This window comes from Homo sapiens, chromosome 13 (assembly GCF_000001405.40).
Source record: "Homo sapiens chromosome 13, GRCh38.p14 Primary Assembly".
In the NCBI taxonomy this organism is placed as follows: domain Eukaryota; kingdom Metazoa; phylum Chordata; class Mammalia; order Primates; family Hominidae; genus Homo; species Homo sapiens.
This window is the reverse complement of record NC_000013.11, coordinates 29,528,313-29,545,912: the sequence shown is the minus strand read 5'-3', so window position 1 is coordinate 29,545,912 and position 17,600 is coordinate 29,528,313. Positions and strand designations below refer to the sequence as shown.

Here is a 17,600-nt window from a genome sequence, read left to right as displayed (position 1 = left end):
ATCCTGCTGGCTTCAGGAGGAAACACTTTTCGGGTGTTCTCTGGTTTTTGTGAAGATGTCCTTGATAGCTTTTCCACTGGCTTCTCGTTTTTTATGTCATCTTTGATTTGAGTAAACAGAATTGGAAGACTTGAGCTGAGTGGAGTAGGTGGTACTTACAGTGACTGTGGCAAAGTTTCGATGAAGGGAAACCCTGGTGACGGGAACCTTAAGCTGATGGGGATTGTCTGCCCTCTGCTTCTGTGAGGCAGAGACAGGTGACCAACAGGTTGTAATTGGGATTTAAAAGAAAAATATTATTATGAGGAATTAATAGCTACTCATGGGGTGATGCTGATGGTTCTTTGCATTTGAAGAGCAGCGAGTTCTGTTTTCTGGGCGTTTCCTAGTACATTGTCTCATGTGAGCCTCACAGCACCTTGCAGTGGCAGGACTGTCCATCCCCATTTTACACACGTAGAAACAGAGACCTTGACGTTGTGCCTTGTTGAACACAATGAATTTGGGCCTATGGAAACCTGGACAGGAAGAGTGGTAGGGACCTGAGCTGGTCCCCACAGTGGCATGGGGGCGATAGTCTGATTGGGGTGAAGGGGGTGGGCAGAGGGTGCAGCCTGTGACAGAGGTTACCTGTGAGGAGACGGGCTTGGAGAGGGCTTCCTAGACAAGACTGTTGCTTTAGATTTTAATCTGTAACTAGCATCTTTTTATATTTATATTCATTTAGAGAAACAAATTTATTCGTTGGTGAATGAAACCATTCAGTATTCAGCTAATAAGATCTCTTTTGATAGAAAGACCCTCACAAGTTGTTGATGGTCATGGTGATGATTACCTGAGACAAAAGTGGGTGCCCTATTAGCTTCCTGAATTTCAGGTCATTGGTGATTACTGACTGCTGCGTGTGCTGTGGTCCTGTCAATACTATTTGGTGCCTGCTAGGTGCCAGGGGCATAGAAGGATGATCAGGATGCAGCCCTTGCCCTGGGGGAGCATCTTGAGGGGGCCGAGTTGAGTCAGTGGGAAGAGCTTGCCCCCCCCCCCCGATGAGGCAGGTGCGATGTCACCTGTGCCCCCTACGACAGGGCACAGTGCCATCTGTGCCCTCTTCTGTATTTTACACCCTCTCCCCACTGCCCTCGCCGCCATGCCATTCCCCAGAATTTGTTGATCTAATTCAGAGAGCAGTTCAAGGCTTTGGAGGCAGTGAGACTTGAACCCCAACTGCACCTTTCATTGGTCAAATGCCCTTGGGGACGTTCCTTGGGAGAATGTTATAGAAGTTATTTGATTTGTGCTGGGGCCAGGCATTATTACTTAAAAAAATCTCCCCAGATGATTCTAATGTGCAACCAGCATTGAGAATTACTGAGTTGTAATCAAGCCTGCGTCTCCTTGTCTCTAGAATGCAAAGTATTGCCTACCTGATAAGGGGGCGAAAAGATGAAGTAAAATGTAAAGGACTTTCATTTGGCTGGTGCTCCAGGATGTTAGGTGTTTTTAGTTATTACTATTGTTTTCTCATTGAAAGCGTGACATGTCATTCTAGACTACACAGCAAATGATGGAAAAGAAGAAAATAACAACAAAAACATGCGTATAATCTCAGTTAATATTTTAGGATTTTACACCCACATACGTACTCATTGGTATTATATTATGTTCTTTTGGACTTGATGTTTTCTCATGACATTAAAAGTTGAAAACGGTTTACTGACTGCAAACCATTTCAGCAACAGATTCACGCTGTAAAGATCGCACTGGGTTCCTTCCTGAGACAGCATTGTCTACTTTCGGCCTGTGGGTTATTTGTTTATTTGTTTGGGCCTCTTCGTGGTGTGAGTGGGTGGGATCCCGGCGCTCCCATGTTGCTTTAACCTGGCTGAGGCCCGATGCTGTGGTCTTTGCCATGCCTGCACTGGGGCCTCTGTTGGCAGTTGTTCTTGGCTGGGCAACTTCCCCACTGTGCCTGGAAGCTGTTCTGCAGTTGGTGGCTGCTCAGCCCAAGGAATGGCACCTGTGGTAGAGCCTCATGTCCTCTCCTCCCCGCATGTCCCCGCCTCTCCCCCACTCTGTCCTCCTGCAGAACCTCTGATCCTTGCCTCCTCTCCACCCCCTCCCTCCTCCTGTAGAACCTCTGATCCCTGCCTCCTCCCCACCCCTCTTCCTCCTCCTGCGGAACCTGTGATCCCTGCCTCCTCCCCACCCCTCTCCCTCCTCCTGCGGAACCTCTGATCCCTGCCTCCTCCCCACCCTTCTCCCTCCTCCTGGGGAACCTCTGATCCCTGCCTCCTTCCGCACCCCTCTCCATGTAATGTTGCTTTTGCTGTAAGACTTAGAGTGGTGGGCTGTAAACTTTGTCTATGGGACCTCAGAGGTCCCTGGGAACTTCTGCCATCAGCCCTGTTGAGTCAGTAGGCAGAAGCGTGTGGCGGGGAGGCAGGGCTCTCAGGCTTTCTGATTGTGAAGTCAGGGAGGCCTGAAGGACTGAAACCCCTGGTTGAGTCATCACCCTGGCCCTTGGGCCCCCTTGTGCCAGACTTGAGCAGTCACATTGCCTGCAGCTTGTGGATTTTAGAAGAGTGTAAAGTGTCTTTGTAACCAAGGCCTCCAGCTCGATATATGGAAGTGCCCAAATGGCTCTGTGCCTCTGTACTTCTTGATGGAAGGCCACCTTTTTTCCCCCATGAAAGTAGTGGCCTTTTGAGACAGACCTTTTCTTTGTCCCACACTCTCCTTTGGGACCCTAGTGCTCCAGGAGTGTATGTTCATAGCCTCGCACCCCCCGCAACCCCACCACTCTGTGCTTTCCAAGAATAAGGACTGGGGGTTTGCCCATTTCTCTTAAACCCCAGTTGTCACAGTGCTTTGCACATAACAGGCATGGGATCAGTCACTTTGGGTGGAATTTAGTTATATCCTTAGCGTGTCACTAGCTGCCTGGAGTCAGCCAGATGTAGACCCCAGGGCCTTTAAAAGAGTCCAAGCTCAGAAGTCATATTTCATTGTAGGCAGAGCCGCTGCCCAGTGAGACTGGGGCCTTGCACTGTGCCGTTGTTTCTTTCTCTGCCGCTCACTGCACAAGTGGACGATTGGTTTTTTTTTTAAGCTGCATAATTTTGAACCACCCTTCCCATCCTCATACTTTTGAGTATGAGGATTCTTTGATTTACTCTCTCCAATTCAATTTTCTTATGGTCGTGGAGCTCATTTAGTCTTTTTTTTTTTTTTGAAACAGGGTCTCCCTCTGTCTGGAGTGCTGGAGTGCGGTGTGTGATCACGGTTCACTGCAGTCTTGATTTCCTGGGCTCAAGCCATCCTCCTGGCTCAGCCTCCTGAGTAGCTGGGACCACAGATGCATACCACAGTGCCCAGCTAATTTTAAATTTTTTGTAGAGATGATGTCTTGCCATGTGGCCCAGGCTGGTTTCGAATGAGCCCACGTAGTCTTTTTTTTTGAGACAGATTTCGCTGTTGTCACCCAGGCTGGAGTGCAATGGCGTGATCTCGGCTCACTGTAACCTCTGCCTTCCAGGTTCAAGCAATTCTCCTGCCTCAGCCTCCCGGGTAGCTGGGATTACAGGCGCCTGCCACCACGCCCAGCTAATTTTTGTATTTTTAGTAGAGATGGTGTTTCACCATGTTGGCCAGGCTGGTCTCCAACTCTTGACCTCAGGTGATCCACCCACCTCGGCCTCCCAAAGTGCTGGGATTACAGGTGTGAGCCACCGCGCCTGGCCGAGTTCATGTAGTCTTTAGTGACGCTTTGCACAGTGAAAGGTATTCTCTGCCTGTACTCCCCGTAGGTGAACATGCCTTCTGCAATGCAGAATGACTTTGGAAAGATTGTATGTGTTTTTTTTTATGATAAAAATAAAATAGAATTTTTAAAGAGAATTTTGAAAAGTATTATGATAGTGAATAGTAAAATTACTGCTACTAATATTTTGATATACTTTTTATCTGGCATTTAAAGAATACATATGTACTTTGTTTATCCAAAAATATATACTTTTGTAGTATTTTTCTGTGAACCTGTCATGAACATTTCTTCATTGTCCATACATAGTCTAGAAAGACATTCTTAATGGCTACATTATTTTGTCATATTTTATTACAAGTTATTCATAATTTTTCCTACTCTTGGACGGGAAGGGTTTTTCTCATTTTTTCCACTTCTCTTAGTGACATCATGTTAACATCCAGAATGATGTTAAACTGTATTCAACATTAGTGAGCATGTTACTCATGATTTTCCCAGTTATGCTAGTCTCTATTTGTCAGTCTTCTATACATTGTACGTGAATTGAATGTTTATGAATAGGGGTTTTCCCTTTGCTATGTACTAAACTTGTTAAGATCAATCCTCCTATCTGCTCCCTGCCCCTCACGCCCAAATTGGCAGTGGCTTCTGACGACAGGAGAAAGACTGTGGTCTACCATTGTACCAGACTCAGTTCACCTGGGATTAATGAGTCCCTGTTAGGTCAGTTATGACCTGTCCTCTGATGGTCTTAGGCACTGACCACGGTTAATTTCCTTTTCTGTTCTGAGTCTCTTTCTGCCTGTTAAGGGACCTCCATTGCTCCTTCTCAAGACCGTGTTCAGTTCTGTCTCTTCCTTACCTCTTTTTTTATAACACCATGCCTACCTCCTTCCGTCTCCATCCTTAGTGTCCGCTAGTCCCATCTGATCTGACTTGTTTTTCAAAATGTAAGTTCTTGCACCTGGGCCTCCTAACATCTGGGGGGAAGTGGATCCTGCTTTGAGATCACTTCCTTCCACACAGGTTTTGCCCTTGTCATTGAGACTCCACGTCCTCTCTCATCGTGGCCAGCATCCCCTTCTCCCACCTGTGGCTGCAGCTCACTCAGCTGTGTGAGCCCTGCCCCTTCTGTGCACACTCAGTCTGGAACACTCCTTGACTGCTGAGCAGCTGCCCACATGCCAGCCATGAGGTTGACCAGCCACTCTTGTTGAGGAAAGCTGAAAAGACGCCATTGACTATGCCCACCCATTCATGATATCCTATAATAGTAATACCACCCTAATAAAGACAGAGATTCCTTAGCCTGATACAAACGTAGACCACAGTCTTTCTCCTGCGAGGGTGAAAGATTTCCCTCTGGATGGCTCCCACCAGGTGCCTGGAGAAAGGGGTCGACTGGGGCCTGGCCATTCTGAAGGCCACTGAAAGGGGAAGCTAAAAGCATTGGCTTCTTAAAGATCCCAAGATGAAGATTTTCTTGAAAGAAGGGCATTTCCGAGTGTCGTATAACAGCTTGCTTTTGACTCCTCCTGGCCCCCAGGGAAGCCATTAAGCTGGAATGTATCAGTGGTGGAATGATCCGTTAAATTCAAGGTGAAAACGTCACACCATTCACCCTGTCACTTGTATCAGAAATCTTTAAAATAGAACATAAGAGAGTCTTTATCTCAAATTCTGACTCATTGGGTCATTTTACTCCTGGTGTTATGTAGTGGTTACTAGAATAGAATGCAGAGTTAGAATTCCTGTGGGAAACGTGCTTTTCTGAGGATACCCCTCAGGTAAGTGTTCTTTGATAATAAATGACAGGGAGCAAGAGGGATCCGAGACCCTTGGGCTTGCAAGATTTCCATCAAACCCTCAAATAAAAGGAGGCATCAACTGTTGTATAAATTCCTCCCCACCTAATTTCCAGGTGATGCTCTCAAAGTATTCTGGCAACTTTCTGTGTAAACCCCAACAGCAGGAAGTCTCTACCAACCTGACTTTGCTTGCTGGGGTTGGAATGGTTAGCTAAGTCTGTGCGGAGTAGCTTCGTGCAGCCTCACTGTTGGTTGAACAACCAGCTTTGGAGTCCTGGCATGAATGTAAGAGCTGGTATAATGTGTACAAAATGCTGACAGATAAAACCACTTGGAGAACAGGTTTTTGCATTACTTCCAAGGAGACAGGATATTTCTTAAAATAAACCCAGGACAGAGTAAGTGTCTCATTTTCTCCTACCCTGGGAAGTAGGAATGAACACCTAGCCTGAGACATTTACATTCTCCAGATTATCAGCCCTGGGCTTCTCAGCAGCAGTTGGCTGCATCTTTGTTCCAGTGTCTTCCAAAGGAATTCAGTTTGCCCTCTCCCTAGATAGCAAGCAATACTTAAGAAGTAACCAAGGTAAAAGTAATCTCCTGTAGGGGTCCCAGTTGTCCCCACCCCACCCCACTGAGACCCAAGCACTTCCCTCCAGCACTTCCCTGGGCTTGGTGTGGGGGAAACAGGCCAAGAACTATACCCGGATAAAACGGGCCGCTGCGTACCTATTCAGGGGAAATGAGCGCAGCTGTGCACAGGTGTCTCACCAGAAAGTCCCTTTTCACATTATGTTAGAAAACCGTTATCTGTATCTAAGCTTACAGTAATTTAATAACCTGCCCCTTCATTTTGAAGGGGGTTCAGAGGTCCCCCCAGCATAAGTTGCTTGGTTCTTTGGGTTCTCAACTGGCAGCAGTGATCTGTGCTGTGGTGACATACGTGCATGTGTGCACATAGGCTTTGCATCTGCGCACCTCCATGGACGTCATTTGTCCTCTTATGCGAGCAGCCGGCTCACATTCGCCTTCCGTTCTACAGAGGCCCAGAACTATGTTAACTGGAGTGTGTCTGGGCTCTGGTGCGCTCCTTGCCAAGAATCTGTTTGGTTCCTCTTGTGGCTTTGGTTCTGCCTAGGACAACAGCACGTTTTTGAGAAAGGAGTGCAAAAAGGAAATAGCCCTCCTGAAAAGCCCAGGACAGAGAAAGGCAGGGCGACCCCTTCTCACCTTCTGGGCGCGCTTAGGTTATGTTATCCTGTGAGGCCTAGGAAAGAAAATGCTATTGAGTAGCTTTGTCTCTCCCTTGCACTTGGCCTTTAGTGTTTTATGGAGAGAATCTGCTTATTCTTGAGCAGAAGTGACATCTGGGAGAGGTTGGGAGCAGGCAGGCACTGTCTGTGCATCCCCTAGCCACATTTCCCAGCCAGATCCGAAACAAGAGCTTTCACACCCTGTTTCTCTTCAAGGCTCCGTCTACTTAAACGACTCCCTCCCTGCCAAAAGGGATATTGAGAAGTGACTTCGCAGCAATTTTTGCACATCTCCCAGCACAGGCTTTTCAGCTGAGGGCTATGTTGCAATGTTGCATTTTCCCTTCCAACTTACTATCCACGCAATTGTTTACTAAACGCTTTGTTGTGCTTTGCAATTTGACTTGAATAAATCTGGCTAATTCCCCAAAAGGAAGAAAAGAAAAAGGCATTTCCAGGAGAAATCACTCCCTGAGCCTGCAGATCCTGGGGTCCCAGCAGCACTAGGTCCTTGGTTCCTGCTCCTCCTCCTCCCTAGTGCCACTCGGAGGCTCTCACTTAACTGCCTAGGAAGCCGCAGGCATCCCTGTGTTGCTGAGACACCTCAGAACTGCTCTGGCATGAGAGCTTGCTGAAGCAGTCCCTTGTGTTGCTGAAAGCAACCTGGGAAGCCATCCATCTCTCTGCTTGCTCTTCTCTTGGCCTCAGGGGCCCTTTTCCTGCTCTTCTCAAACTCTAGGTTCTGATTTTCCCACTCCATCACTGTTCCACAAGCAGCGCTCCCTCCTCATTTCCTCCCCACTTTGCCCCACTTGCTAAACCATGATATCATTTCCTTCCTACCTGTGATACTGCCGGAACTCCAGAGGAGGACTGCGCCTGCAGAGCCTGTGACCCTGTTTGACATTTGGCTCTCTGAGCTGTTTTCCCCATCTATGTAACAAAGGGATAGGATCAGATGATTTTTATTCCCCATTCTAGCTCAAAATTTTATGAGTCTTGAGATTATTCTCTTCCTTTGGCCTGTCAGATAAAACAGAGCAGGCACCATCCCCAGTTGCTGCACGACCTGGAGCTGATCAGTGATGCGACCATTGCTGAGGGGCCCTGAGCTGCAGTGTGGGGAGGCCCTGCTGCACTGCGCCCGCCCGGCAGCTGAGGGTGCAAAGGTGTGGGCAGGCAGGGAAGTGTTCAAGTCGTTAGGCACGGACTTTTCTAGACTTGTTATCTCAATTGATTTAATTGCAGCCAAGTTAGGTCAATAAATACCAACTGATGATCAACATGAACGATTGGTGATTTTTTGTGTGTACCTTAGTAGCCAAAAGTCATGACGATAGCATATCTGTGCACATGCTGTTGTTTTGTCTTAGATTTTTAAAATAAACTCTGTTTTAGGATAGTGTTAGATTTATAGAAGAATTGTGAAGAGTACAGAGCTTGCATGTGCCCCTCACCATTTCCCATTAGGAACGTGTATCTTACTTTGGTGGGTACATTGGTTACAATCAATATTGATGTGCTGTCACTAACTGACATCCATATTTGATTCAGGTTTCCCTCATTTTCCCCAGGTGTCCTTTTTCTGTCCCAGGATCCCATATAGGATCCCACATTGCATTTAGTCCTCACATCTCCTTAGCTCCTCTAGGCTCTGACATTTCTCAGACTTTCCTAGTTTTTGATGACCTTGACAGAACCAGTCAGGTATTTTGTAGAACAGGATGTGTCCGGTGGTTTTCCCATGGTTAGCCTGGGGCTGTGGGTTTTTGGGGGAAAGACTGTGGAGATGAAGTGCCCCTCTCATCACATCGCTCTGCCAACATGACTGTCACTGTTATTGGCCTCGGTCACCTGCCGCAGGCGGTGGTCCTCGGGTTTCTCCACTGAAGAGTTTATCTGTTTTCCCACCCCCACCCTTCCATCCTGGACTCTATGGAAGGAAGTCTCTTCCCTTCAGATGTGGGGAGCAAAGCTCCCCCTTTTTGAGGGTGGCTGCTGGCCTGTCCTTGCCAAGGGCTCACCTGTCGCATCTGGTCGGGCAAGGTGGGCCCGTAGGTTGGAGGAAAGCAATCTCAGAGCCATCCCACAAGGCACAAGGTGTCCTGGGCCCTAATGGGGCATGTCCCATGTGAGGGTGGGATGGATGAATACATGTCCTCTCATGATAAGTGCCCAAGAGCATATCAGATATGCATATATATCATATACCACAGAGCACATTGGGCTGACATTTCAGCCCAGAAGAAAAGTGCTTCCTGTAGTAGTAACAGTGACGAAAAGCCCTCACTTGTAATAACTCAACATTTTTCTGCTTCGACCTACCTCTGTGTTACCTTAAAAGTGAAAACAACTTGCTCCTTACCCTCAGGGGATCCTAGAAAGATCTAGAAAAACATTGTTATTGCCATTCAGGGCCTCTGAGTTTTAATAATTTAATAATTTAATTTAGTAATGAAATTAAGATATGGTTTGGTTTGCTTTCTATTACAGCATACTTGAACTAACACCTTGTTTTTCCTGGTGTATTATCTGATGACTGAGTGTAGGAACAATGTCATTAATGTGTGTTTCCTCTACTGCATAATTTCCACCCATGGAAGAGTCTCCATTAAGAGGACCTGCTACAAATGTGGAAGCTCAGAGACCTCGAAATGAAGTCATCTGTATCTGTTGGCCTGCTGGGTTAATTCTGTATGTGCTGGTGAAACTGGAGAAGTCTGCGTGCTTCTGACAATTGATGGTGGAATTCTACGAATTAAAGCGTTTTAGCAGGAAATGATTATGAAGGACCTGATCACTGTCTGTGTTTCCATAATGTGATAAGATTAGAGTAATGGGTGAAATGAGGAGCAATCAGGAAACATCTTTGTTCTTTTTCAACAGCTCTGAACAGCAACATGGGGTGCAAAGTCCTGCTCAACATTGGGCAGCAGATGCTGCGGCGGAAGGTGGTGGACTGTAGCCGGGAGGAGACGCGGCTGTCTCGCTGCCTGAACACTTTTGATCTGGTGGCCCTCGGGGTGGGCAGCACACTGGGTGCTGGTGTCTACGTCCTGGCTGGAGCTGTGGCCCGTGAGAATGCAGGCCCTGCCATTGTCATCTCCTTCCTGATCGCTGCGCTGGCCTCAGTGCTGGCTGGCCTGTGCTATGGCGAGTTTGGTGCTCGGGTCCCCAAGACGGGCTCAGCTTACCTCTACAGCTATGTCACCGTTGGAGAGCTCTGGGCCTTCATCACCGGCTGGAACTTAATCCTCTCCTACATCATCGGTAGGTCCCAGGGGTCCGGAGCTCGTGCCCTCTACCACTTTTCTGTTTGTTCCCACCTCCAAAGTGTGGGTGGATGCCCCACAGGGAGGTCATTCTTGTTAACACGAGAGGCACAGAATTAATAGGATGTTTCTGATTCATTTAGAGGTATTTAGTTTCTTTTAGTAGGTTTTTAAATTACTAGAGTAAATGCATCACTGATAGAGAAAAATTGGGAAAATAAAGAAAAGCATGAAGAAGAAAGTAGAAATACCCTGCCTGACAACATGGAGAAACTAATTCTCTCATTCATTCATTCATTCTTTTAATAAATGTTCATTGAGTACCTGCTCTGGGCTGGGCATTGTGCTAGATACTAGGGATCCCATGAAGGCATAAGACACTCTGTGTTCAGAAGTTTACTGTCTACAGATACAACTATGGTTAACATTTTTGTGAATTTAAATGTGTATTTTTCTACAGTGTATCTCTTTATAAAACAATATATAGTAAACATTTCTCATATCATTAGCTATTTTTCCACAGTAACATTTCTAATGCTTGCCTACCATTGTATAGATTTATATACACAGCGTAATGTATTGGTGTCTTTATGGGATGTTCAGATTGTTTCCATTATGTTGTTGCTGTTGTTATTAACAGTTAATTACTTTATGTCTTTGGGCTTAGCCATGATTCTTTTCCTTAAAACTGTCTAAGGAGCAGAATGGCTGTCAGTGGGTCTGCGTGTTTTTAAGGCCTTTGTTGACTGTGATCCTCCACGTAGCCAGGGGCCCCTTTCCCTGCAGTGTGGGCACTGGGCATCGGCCTGTAACACATCCACCCAGCAAATAAGGAAGCAAATGTAGAAAATCTTTCCGGTTTGCCAGGTAAACACGCTTTGCTTCTCTTTATGCTTTTTTGTATTTTGATTACAACTGAAGTTGAACACATCAACTTAAAAGAAACAAAAACCTAAGTCTCAGAAGCAAAGGGTACAAACGGCCACTCAACATGCCATTTATTTTTTTTTTTCTCAAACTTTTTGGTAATAGCGAAAAAACAGTAAGACCTGTTAAGTTGAGCCATGTGGGTTCCGCCTTGCTTCTGTGTCAGCTCCCACTGGACCCCACCACACCCTCCCTGGCCACACATGCTGCCTGCTGGGATCCTCGCAGCCCTGGGCTCCCCACAGCCCTATCTCTGCATGGGGGGCATCACTCCCCCTTCACCAGGACAGCTGGGGGAGGGCACACACTCACATTCTCCGAGCAGCACCTTCTCTTTCTTTCCAGCAGCTGCAGTATCTGCTGAGAGCCAACATAGCTTAGTCTTCTGGGTTCTAAAATAAAATTCACAATGTTTTCTTTCAATGCCACATCAAAACTTAACAACCACACATGGTTCTCACAAGCTGAAGTCTCTCACTGGGAATGTAGCTATTGTAAATGGACCGTTATGTTTCCAGAGGATTTACCTGAGCATAAAATATACATTGAGCATGAAATGCTTGCAGCTTCTAGACCAACAAATGTAAGGCTCTGCGAGAGTGCCGTTTGCTTGTGTGAAACCATTTGCATGCATTATAAAAATGTGTTCTCAGCCTTAGCTGCTGGGAAGGGCAGTTTTTCCAGCAAACATTTTTTTAAAAGGCATAATTCAGAAATTGGGAGTGGATAGGCTGGGAAGAAAGGCTGGGGTAGCCCCTGTCACTGAGCAGGACAGGGTTTGGGAGCCACGTTTGCCATAAGCCAGCTGCTTTGGGGGTGACAGGGAGATGGTGAGACCATTTTTACAGAATTCATAATAGATTGGCTGCTTAGGAGGAAGAAATGTGGTTAAACTTCTGAGTTGTTGGAAAGATACTTACTTATCATAAGACCAAATAGTGAAATTGAATCTCTGCAGATCACTGTGGCAATATGCTGTGGATAATTAGGACCATGGTCACCGACAAGGCCCGCTTTGAAAATAAAGGAAAACGCTCTATGAAAATGCTGGAATTTTAGTGACATTTCCTGAGAAACACCAATGGAAACACATTCTGACACCCTTTAGAATTATGTGAGAGGAGAGAATGAGAGTGAAAGACAGCAGCCAACTATTGTTGGCATTTTGAGTGCTGCCCTGTTGGTGTTCTTCGGCACCGGAGGGTGCAGGCTGAGGGGAGAACGAGGAGGGCTGGGGTCTGTCTGCTGTCCTGCACTCTGGGGATGCTGTGGCCTCCGAATCAGGTTCAGGCAAAAAGTGGCAGAGGTGGCTGATGCCAACACTGAGATGAGCAAGTGGCTTTGTCCCTGAGATGGAGTTCAGCCCCTTCAAGGACTTCCTAGGGCCCCTCTTCTTGCTGAGAGAAGAATTATGGTGCAGGCACCATCATCTCTGCAGCCAAGGGGTTCCTAGAAAAGAGGCTTCCTAAGCAGCATTCCTCCAGACTGCCAGCTGCACCCCAGGAGTGCATTATGAAATCAATTTTTCATGAGTTGTCATCAATGTTTACTTTTTTTAATGAAACAAAGTAGGTAGCATTAAATATTATCAGAGTGCCTCTCAGGTGGTAAGGGTAACACTCGTTTTGCGAACTTTTTATTCGGATATATATATTTGATAGAATACACCTGTGTATATTGGGTAGGATGTGAAGTGCATTCCTCTGTAGGCCCTAGAAGCCTTCTCGCACTTAGCACTAGTCGACCGTCACTTCTGGCTCAGCATACACTGTGGTCTGGCTGCTGCTGCCAGATTCCAGTGCACCGTCGGTGACTCCTGCAATGATGTTATCAACATGGAGCTCCACTACAAATACCTGGCTAACAGTTGTCCTCACATCTCCTCTGTTGTGTGTGCTTTGTGGCAGGTACTTCAAGCGTAGCGAGGGCCTGGAGCGCCACCTTCGACGAGCTGATAGGCAGACCCATCGGGGAGTTCTCACGGACACACATGACTCTGAACGCCCCCGGCGTGCTGGCTGAAAACCCCGACATATTCGCAGTGATCATAATTCTCATCTTGACAGGTAAAGCCCACACTTAAAAAGAGATCGGGTCAGAGTGATGGGCAAAGGTTTGGTGAGAGGCTCCTGTTAAGTTCCTTTCTTTACTTATCTCTTTAACCATAACCCCCATTTCTTTTTGTTTTGTTTTTGTACTGCATGCAGGCATCTTTATTTGTTCCTGTCTTCATTGCTTCTTATAGATTCAGATAGGGCCGGCCTGCTTCATAGCTGTTGAATTGTGTGCCATTTCATTAAAAGAGAATCTTAGGTGTTTAGCCTAGCTGTTTGTGGAATAAGATTTTGTCTGCACTGCAGGCTTTTTGTGTGAGTGTCCTGGGAATAAAAGTTCTTTTGACTCAGTGGATGACCATTTGGAAAGCAAAACTGTCATTCATCAGCCAGGAAAATGTGGAGGAATGAGCTCCGTCTGGAACACTAATGTGTGCCTGGGGCGTCTGAAGATGACTTGGATGGTTTTTACACCTAACAACCATCAAAACACCCTTTCAGTAAATAAGTTTCATGACAGAGTTGTGGTTACAGAATTTGAAAAATCCCAGAGACTGCCTGAACACAGCTGATGGCAACTTCTTGCTAGTGACATTTGTGCGTGTCTTGGCCAGTGCAGCGCGAGTTTTGCTCTGTGGGGCTCCATAAACATGAAGCTGAAATGCAGATAAATTCTCATTTGGGGTTAGAAAATCTTGGATGAGTTTTAAAAATGACATGCCTTATTTTACACACCACATAATTGAAATAACTTCACTCAGGCTGGTCTCAGCAGTATTTCTGGTCCAGCTGGCAGAAACATGCATCAGAAAGTAAGTCTGCACTAGTGAGATTTCATTTTAATAAACCTGAGAGGGAGGGACACTAAAGAAACAATATATTGTTGTTTGTTGAGGTGTTCTCCCTGTGATTAATTACACAATTCTCTTCTAACATCTGTACTTTATAATTCAATCTCAAAAGTACAGCAGTTTTTATTTTATTTTATTTTATTTTATATTTGAGACAGAGTCTTGTTCTGTCACCCAGGCTGGAGTGCAGTTGCGCGATCTTGGCTCACTGCAACCTCTGCCTCCTGGGTTCAAGCGATTCTCACACCTCAGCCTCCCCAGTAGCTGCGATTACAGACACGCACCACCACACCCAGTTAATCTTTTATATTTTTAGTAGAGGTAAGGTTTTGCCATATTGGCCAGGCTGGTCTGGAACTCCTGACCTCAAAAGATCTGCCTGCTTCCCAAAGTATTGGGATTACAGGCGTGAGCGACCGCACCTAGCCAATTTTTATTTTAAAACGATGAGAGGCGTCCATGGCAGAGCAGTGGTCTCAAATCCTGGCTGTGTTCGAGTGGTACCAACCCCTTCTGTGCCACTTTTCTTGCCCAGCAGAGAGTTCAGCTATGGAAGTACCCGAATGACCTCTTCACCCTAAGGTGGTGCTGGGGCATGTGCCTCAAAGGCAGTGCTGTCAGAGGTTCCTGGGCATCTTTATTACTTATAGTTTTCTTTAAAAAAAAAACGTGAGTTTGCAAGCTAGAGCTAGCCTAGCTCAGATGTTATTTTATATGCACTGAGTCCAACGAAGAACCATGTGTGTTAGTGGTTCCAGAACCATAGCTAGTTGTTATTGTTAATATCACTAACATCCCAAAGTCAACCAGAATAATTTCCTCTTCTGAAAAATGTCCATTCTCCCAGGAAACTATGCAAAGTCTTTCTTCCTGGAATTGTTCCTAGAGGTTGTTTCCCAGCAACGCATCCTTTTAGTGAGAGGGAGCGGCTTGGTGTGCGGGTCCAGGCTTTCCCCTCCCTATGAGAGGGGCTCATGCTCCAGATCTCTGCAGTTCTCGGGTGCCCCTTGGGTGGGCTTCTCAGTTCCCAAGGGTATCTGGAGGTCACCTAGGAGGGCCTGGGAAGCACCCACAACCTTGGTGATTTAAACCCCTGATCCCCGCCCCCAGAAAGATAATTAATCCACCCCATTCCCAGAGGCTCACAGAGGTCTGCAGAGGCTCGATGCACTTGGATTCTTTTTCAGTCGCCTTCTTATCCCCATCCAGGAAGGACCTTCCCAGTTTGTGGTTAACACTCAGACAAAGTTTTGTGTCTATGCACTTTTTCAGGACTTTTAACTCTTGGTGTGAAAGAGTCGGCCATGGTCAACAAAATATTCACTTGTATTAACGTCCTGGTCCTGGGCTTCATAATGGTGTCAGGATTTGTGAAAGGATCGGTTAAAAACTGGCAGCTCACGGAGGAGGATTTTGGGAACACATCAGGCCGTCTCTGTTTGAACAAGTGAGTTGCTGCTTCTGACCATTTTTCTTAGTTGACATTTAATGACATAGATTGTATGGGGGATATAACTGGCTAGGATGGCATGTGCTTTTAAGAAAACATTATTTGAGGATATTTTGTTAATTGTTTTGTGTTTTTGCAGTGAAGTAGCTGAGGGTATTTTGTATGTATCAAGTTTGTGTGAAGGTTTATTCCCCTGAAATGGAAAGACTATTGTATGACAAGAAAGACTGAGGAAAAGAAAATCATCACCCTAATTCCAAATTGTGTATCATTCAGGATTCTTGTCAGACTCATTAAATGATCCCTCTTTCCCCAGATTCTGTTTGATGGCCAACTTTGGAATTTTGTGTTCAGAAAAGATTTTTCTCTGCAGTGCCGTGGTGACCTCACTTCACCTTTAAATACCTTCCTATTAGATTAATAATGTAGAGGGAAGAGAAATAGGTGAAACTATTTTTGAAGGTTTTCAGAATGACTGAAGTGTCAGAATGTGAGCACAATAGTCTTTCGCCGACATTTGACTTGTGCTGCTCAAGCCCTGGCGACAGTGGCCCCATCACCCTCATGTCTCTGACACAGACATCCGGAACTGGAGGTGACAGCTCCACCCTGTGCCATCTCAGGTCTCTCGCCCAGCCCTCATTGAAAGCTCAGATAACCTAGGAAAAAAAAGCCAAACAGTCATATCTTTTTTATCTTTGTTGTCAGATCTCCATGTAATTCTTTAGGTCTCAGGATGGACAATGGGGACTTGGATTTTGTGTGTGATTCTTCATTAAGACTGAAGGTTGAAACTGCTATGATAAAGAGACCCCCTCCAACTGCCACAATGGAGTGTGGCTTTAAAGAAGAGATGTTTCCAGTCCTGAAGTGAGCAGTCCGCGTTGGCTGGCCAGCTTTGCCACAGGCCTCTGTGGACCTAGACATCTTCTGTCTTGCTCCATCTTCCCCCAGGACATTGTCCTCATCTGCCTGGTCAGAGCTGGCTGTAGGCACGAGCATGACCCAGCTCTTCCAGAAGGGAAAAGAGAGCGTAGAGGAGAGTGCTCAGGTCTGTTCAGGACAGACCAGAAGACACACAGACATTCCATTGGCAAGAGTCCACTGGGGGCCACATAGAGCTGCAAGGGAGGCTGAGAAGCACTATCTCACATTGGGAATCTTAGCAGTCACGTATGCCCAGTTGGTCACTGGTTCAGGGCCAGGTGCCAGCCATGTCGCCCAGTATTGTTACCAGTGGGCAGGCATTGATGTGTGACTACTTGAATGGAAACAGGAAACTATGGCATTCGGTGCACGAAACTTCACTAACACTAATATTTTGTGGTTAGCAGTTCTAATAAAACTGCTTTCCTAAACTCTGTTATGGAGAACTGAGGCCTTTGAATATGTCATCCCGAGCATTTCAGAGTCATATTTATGCCAAATTTATGGGTGTCCATTAATCTAGGGTGGAGTGAAGCCAATTCCAAATATGTGTTGAAGTAACGTGTAGCCTTTGAAAACTCAGAGCATATTCGACCGGTTGCTAGTTATAGGTCAGGAATGAAATATATAGGGCACCTCTTGTTAACTGGTTGCCAATCGAGATTTAATTTTATTATTTTTATGAAGAGATTGTGCCAGCCAATGGTATTTACTTTCACTGGTCATCCTCATGCTGGTACCCTAGTAATGATGAGCTAGCTGTACCGGCCCCCAGACAAAGCAGCATTTGTTGCCCCAATCCCTGATCATAGGTGGGGCCCCCTTAGCTACATCTGACGGCCTCACTGCCAGGGCCCAGCCCCCTGACCACAGGGACGGCAGGGGATCGGCCATGTTAGGAGGTGGAGTTCTGCAGGACTGGAGCCTCCTTGGCATGCTCTATTATGTTGTTAAAATATCTAAGCAACTTTCTTTCTTTTTTTTTTCCAGCCGTAGCTTTGTGTTTCTGACAACAGCCATGTAGTCTTGCATGACATTGCTGGTTCCTCTGAAATAGTAGGGCACTGCCCAACCAATCCATATAACATGCAGGAGCTTCCGCTTGCATGGGAGGCCGTGAGACCACATGGGTTTGTGATTTTAGGATGCTGTCTCCTAGCCGCCTGGGAAGGCCCCCAGGAACTAGGTCGGTCTGTCTGTTGGTCTGTGAAGAGGAGTGTTAGTTACCCTGCAGTCTGGATGGCTCTTCGTGCCTTTGACTCAGGCTGCCGCTGGCATTCCCATCCAGTGTTCTG

At 46.3% G+C, this 17,600-nt stretch overlaps 1 protein-coding gene across 5 annotated transcripts in view; it reads left to right on the top strand.

The window, feature by feature from the left end:
• SLC7A1 (solute carrier family 7 member 1) overlaps window positions 1-17,600 on the top strand; it is an 86,275-nt gene that overhangs the window by 49,776 nt on the left and 18,899 nt on the right. For all 5 annotated transcript variants that reach the window (XM_047430551.1, NM_003045.5, XM_047430550.1 and 2 more), the window contains 3 exons: window positions 9,711-10,094; window positions 12,931-13,089; window positions 15,201-15,375. In XM_047430551.1, coding sequence (XP_047286507.1) covers window positions 9,725-10,094; window positions 12,931-13,089; window positions 15,201-15,375 — 704 coding nt within the window. In that variant the 5' untranslated portion in view covers window positions 9,711-9,724. The remainder of the gene's footprint in view (window positions 1-9,710; window positions 10,095-12,930; window positions 13,090-15,200; window positions 15,376-17,600) is intronic.